The following is a 3,854-nucleotide window of genomic DNA, read 5'->3' on the forward strand; positions in this document are numbered from 1 at the left end:
CAACGTGAGATTTTCAGGGGACTAACATCCAAGCCATTATTCCCTCCCTGGCCCCTCAGATCTCACATCCTTCTCACATTACAAAATACAATCATTCCTTCCCAATGGTCCCCAAAAGTCTCAACTCATTTCAGCATCAACTCAAAAAGTCCAAAGTCTCATCTCAGACTCAAGGAATGTTCCTGCCAACTGTGAGCCTGTAAAATTAAAATCAAGTTACTTACTTCCAAAATACAATGATGGTATAGACATTGGGTAAATATTCCTACTCCAAAAGAGAGAAATTGATCAAAAGAAAGGAGAAACAAGCCCCACACAAGTCTGAAACCCAGTGAGGCATTAATCAAATCTTAACACTCTAAAATGGTCTCCTTTGAATACATTTCCCACATCCAGGACACACTGGTACAAGAGGTGAACTCCCAAGGCCTTGGGCTGCTCCAATCCTATGGCTTTGCAGGATACAGCCCCGCAGCTGCTCTCACATGTTGGAATTGAGTGCCTGTGGCTTTTCCAGGCTCAGAGTGCATGCTGTCAACGAGTCTACCATTGGGGGCTGGAGTGGCCCCATTCCCATAGCTCCAATAATCAGTGCCCCAATGGGAACTCTGTGTGGAGGCTCCAACCCCACATTTCCCCTTGGCACTGCCCTAACAAGGGCTCTCTACAGGGGCACCACCCCTGCAGCGGGCTTCTGCCTAAGCAAGCAAGTTTTCCGATACAGCCTCTGAAATCTAGGGGGAAGCTGCCAAGCCTCCTTCATGCTTTCATTCTGTGCACCTTTAGGCTTAACACCACATGGAAACCACCAAGGCTTACAGCTTGCACCTTTTGAAGCAGTGGCCCAAGCTGTATCTGAGGCCCTTTGAGCCAAGGCTGGAGCTGTAGCAGTTTGGATGCAGGGAGCAGCATCCCAAGGCTGCACAGGACAGTGGTGTTCCAGGCCTGGCCCCTGAAACCATTCTTTGCTTTTAGGCCTCTGGGCCTGTGATGGGAAGGGCTGTCCCAAAGACTTCTGAAATATCTTGGAGGCTTTTTTCCCATTGTCTTGGATATTACCACCTGGCTCCCTTTTTGTTAGGCAAATCTCTCTAGCATTCCTTGCTCCAAAGGGTGCTTGCATTTCTCTCCTGAAAAAGTGTTTCCTTTCTCTGCCACACGACTAGTCTGCAATTTTTCCAAATTTTTATGCCCTGCTTTTCTTTTAAATGTAAGTTCCAACTTTAAGTCATTCCTTTGCTCCTATTTGATCCTAAGTTGTGAGGAGCAGCCAGCTTTGCTGCTTAGAAATTTCTTCCACCAGATACCATAAGTCATCACAGATAAGTTCAACCTTCTACAGATCCCTACGATGCAGACATAACGTAGCCAAGCCCTTTGCTAGGGTGTAACACAAGTGACTTTTACTCCAGTTCCCAATAAAGTCCTCATTTCCATCTGAGACCTTGTCAGCCTGGCCATCACTGCCCATACATGTAATAACATTTTGGTCACAATTATTTAACTAGTCACTAAGAAGTTCCAAACATTCCCTTATCTTCTTGTCTTCTTCTGATCCTCCAAAATCTTCAATCTCTTCCCATTGCTTCTGCATTTTCAAGTATCTATATAGCAATGCTACACTCCTCAGCACCAATTTTGTGTTTTAGTTCATTTTCCATTACTAGAAAAGAATATCTGAGATGGGATAATTTATAAAGAAAAAAGATTTAATTGGCTCACAGTTCTTCAGGCTGTACAGGAAGCATGGTGCCAGCATCTGCTTCTGGTGAGTGCCTCAGTAAGCTTACAGTGATGGCAGAAGATGAAAAGGGATCAGGCATATAACATGGCAAGAGAGGAAGCAAGAGAGGGAGGAGGTGCCAGTCTCTTTTAAACAACTTGATCTCACATAAACTCACAAAGTGAGAACTCATTCATTACTGTGAAGATGGCACTAAGCCATTCATGAGGCCCCATGACCCAAACACCTCCCACTAGGTACCATCTCCAGCACTGAGGATCACATTTCAACATGAGATTTGGAGGAAACAAATATCCAAACCATATCAAGTAGTTTATTTGAATCTATCTTTTAGTTCCCTCATGCTCCCTTCAACAGTGTGTAATGCCTTGTATAACCCATCTAGAGTCTAATTTTCAGCAGTTACATTTCATATTTCTAAAAAGTCAATTTGATTGGTCATTCTTGATAGCCTTTTGTTCTTTGCTCAATTTTTATTCAACTTCCTACTTATTTAAATGTATACTATACTATGCTTATATTTGTGTTCTATGTCTGATCATTCTAGTAACTAACCTCTTCAGTTGGGATCTTAAACCATCATTGATTTTGCTGATTCTCACTCATGGTTCCTTATTTCATTTTGTGTTTGATGATTTCCTTTTTTATTGTGAGCTCAAATTTTGTTGAACTGGACCTGTAGGACTATCACTGTTACACATTTGGAATTTTTTATTCTGGAGGAGAGTTGTAGGATTATCGTAGGACCACTTTAGCACTTTTAAGTTTCCAGCTTAATGAAGGAGTGAGAGATTCATCCCCTTCAATGTGTAGCAGCCACAGTTTAGCCTTTTGGTATCAGCACTGGCATTGACATTTACTTTTAGGACTTCACTGATCCTAGTGGTGAGAGACAGGACTAGCTGGATTTCCTAGGCCAACTAAAAATCCCTAAGCCTAGCTGGGAAGGTGACCGCGTCCATCTTTAAACACGGGGCTTGCAACTTAGCTCACACCTGACCAGTCAGAGAGCTCACTAAAATGCTAATTAGGCAAAAACAGGGGGTAAAGAAATAGCCAATCATCTTTCGCCTGAGAGCACAGCAGACGGACAATGATCGGGATATAAACCCAGGGATTTGAGCCGGCAATAGCTACCTCTTTGGGTCCTCTCTTTTTGTATGGGAGCTCTGTCTTCACTCTATTAAATCTTGCAACTGCACTCTCTTTTGTTCCGTGTTCCTTACGGCTCGAGGTGAGCTTTCACTTGCTGTCCACCACTCCTGTTTGCGCTTTCGCAGACCCACCGCTGACTTCCATCCCTCCAGATCTGGCAGGGTGTCCGCTGTGCTCCTGATCCATCGAGGCGCCCATTGCCACTCCCGATCGGGCTAAAGGCTTGCCATTGTTCCTGCATGGCTAAGTGCCTGGGTTCGTCCTAATAGAGCTGAACACTAGTCACTGGGTTCCATGGTTCTCTTCTGTGACCCGCAGGTTCTAATAGAGCTATAACACTGACTGCATGGCCCAAGATTCTATTCCTTGGAATCTGTGAGGCCAAGAACCCCAGGTCAGAGAACACGAGGCTTGCCACCATCTTGGAAGTGGCCTGCCACCATCTTGGGAGCTCGGGAGCAAGGACCCCCTCGTAACAGTGGTATCAAATGGTTTATTAATTATTTTCCTAACTCTACTGAAAGTACAGAAATGCATAAAAAATATACTTCATGCACATTATCTGGCAGCTAGGTTGTCTTGCAGCAGAACGATTTTTTAGGGTATCTAGTCCTTTCATACTACCAGAAGCAAAAATCCCAAAAGTAACATTTTTCACTGTAAAAAATTTCGAAATTCCACATAATCCCAAATCAAAAAGAAAAATAAATTCTCCCATCACTGAGCTATCCAGAAAATCCAAGTAAATAATTTGGTGAGTATCTTTCAAACATAAACACACACTCACAGAATACATACACACATACACACACACATATGTATATAGAATTTTTTGTACTATTTGCCAGATACATGATCTGAATGTCAAGACTACTACCTTCTTCACCCTCACCCCATCCATGGCAAACAACATCAGTCAATTACTGCTTTCCGACTCTTGGGACTGGTAGCTTTA

The 3,854-nt window shown here is 43.4% G+C and overlaps 3 annotated features.

The window, feature by feature from the left end:
* Positions 849–1,143: a silencer, noted in NCBI's record as "tiled region #8579; K562 Repressive non-DNase unmatched - State 24:Quies". NCBI's record gives its function as "represses a minimal TATA promoter and a strong SV40 promoter by Sharpr-MPRA in K562 cells {active_cell/tissue: K562}" and the evidence as "EXISTENCE:reporter gene assay evidence [ECO:0000049][PMID:27701403]".
* Positions 849–1,827: a biological region, named in NCBI's record as "Sharpr-MPRA regulatory region 8579".
* Positions 943–1,827: an enhancer, noted in NCBI's record as "OCT4-NANOG-H3K27ac-H3K4me1 hESC enhancer chr3:70664583-70665467 (GRCh37/hg19 assembly coordinates)". NCBI's record gives its function as "activates a minimal SCP1, AML or CMV promoter by ChIP-STARR-seq in naive H9 embryonic stem cells {active_cell/tissue: H9 hESC(naive)}" and the evidence as "EXISTENCE:reporter gene assay evidence [ECO:0000049][PMID:30033119]".

The sequence above is a fragment of the Homo sapiens genome, chromosome 3, assembly GCF_000001405.40.
Source record: "Homo sapiens chromosome 3, GRCh38.p14 Primary Assembly".
In the NCBI taxonomy this organism is placed as follows: Eukaryota; Metazoa; Chordata; class Mammalia; order Primates; family Hominidae; genus Homo; species Homo sapiens.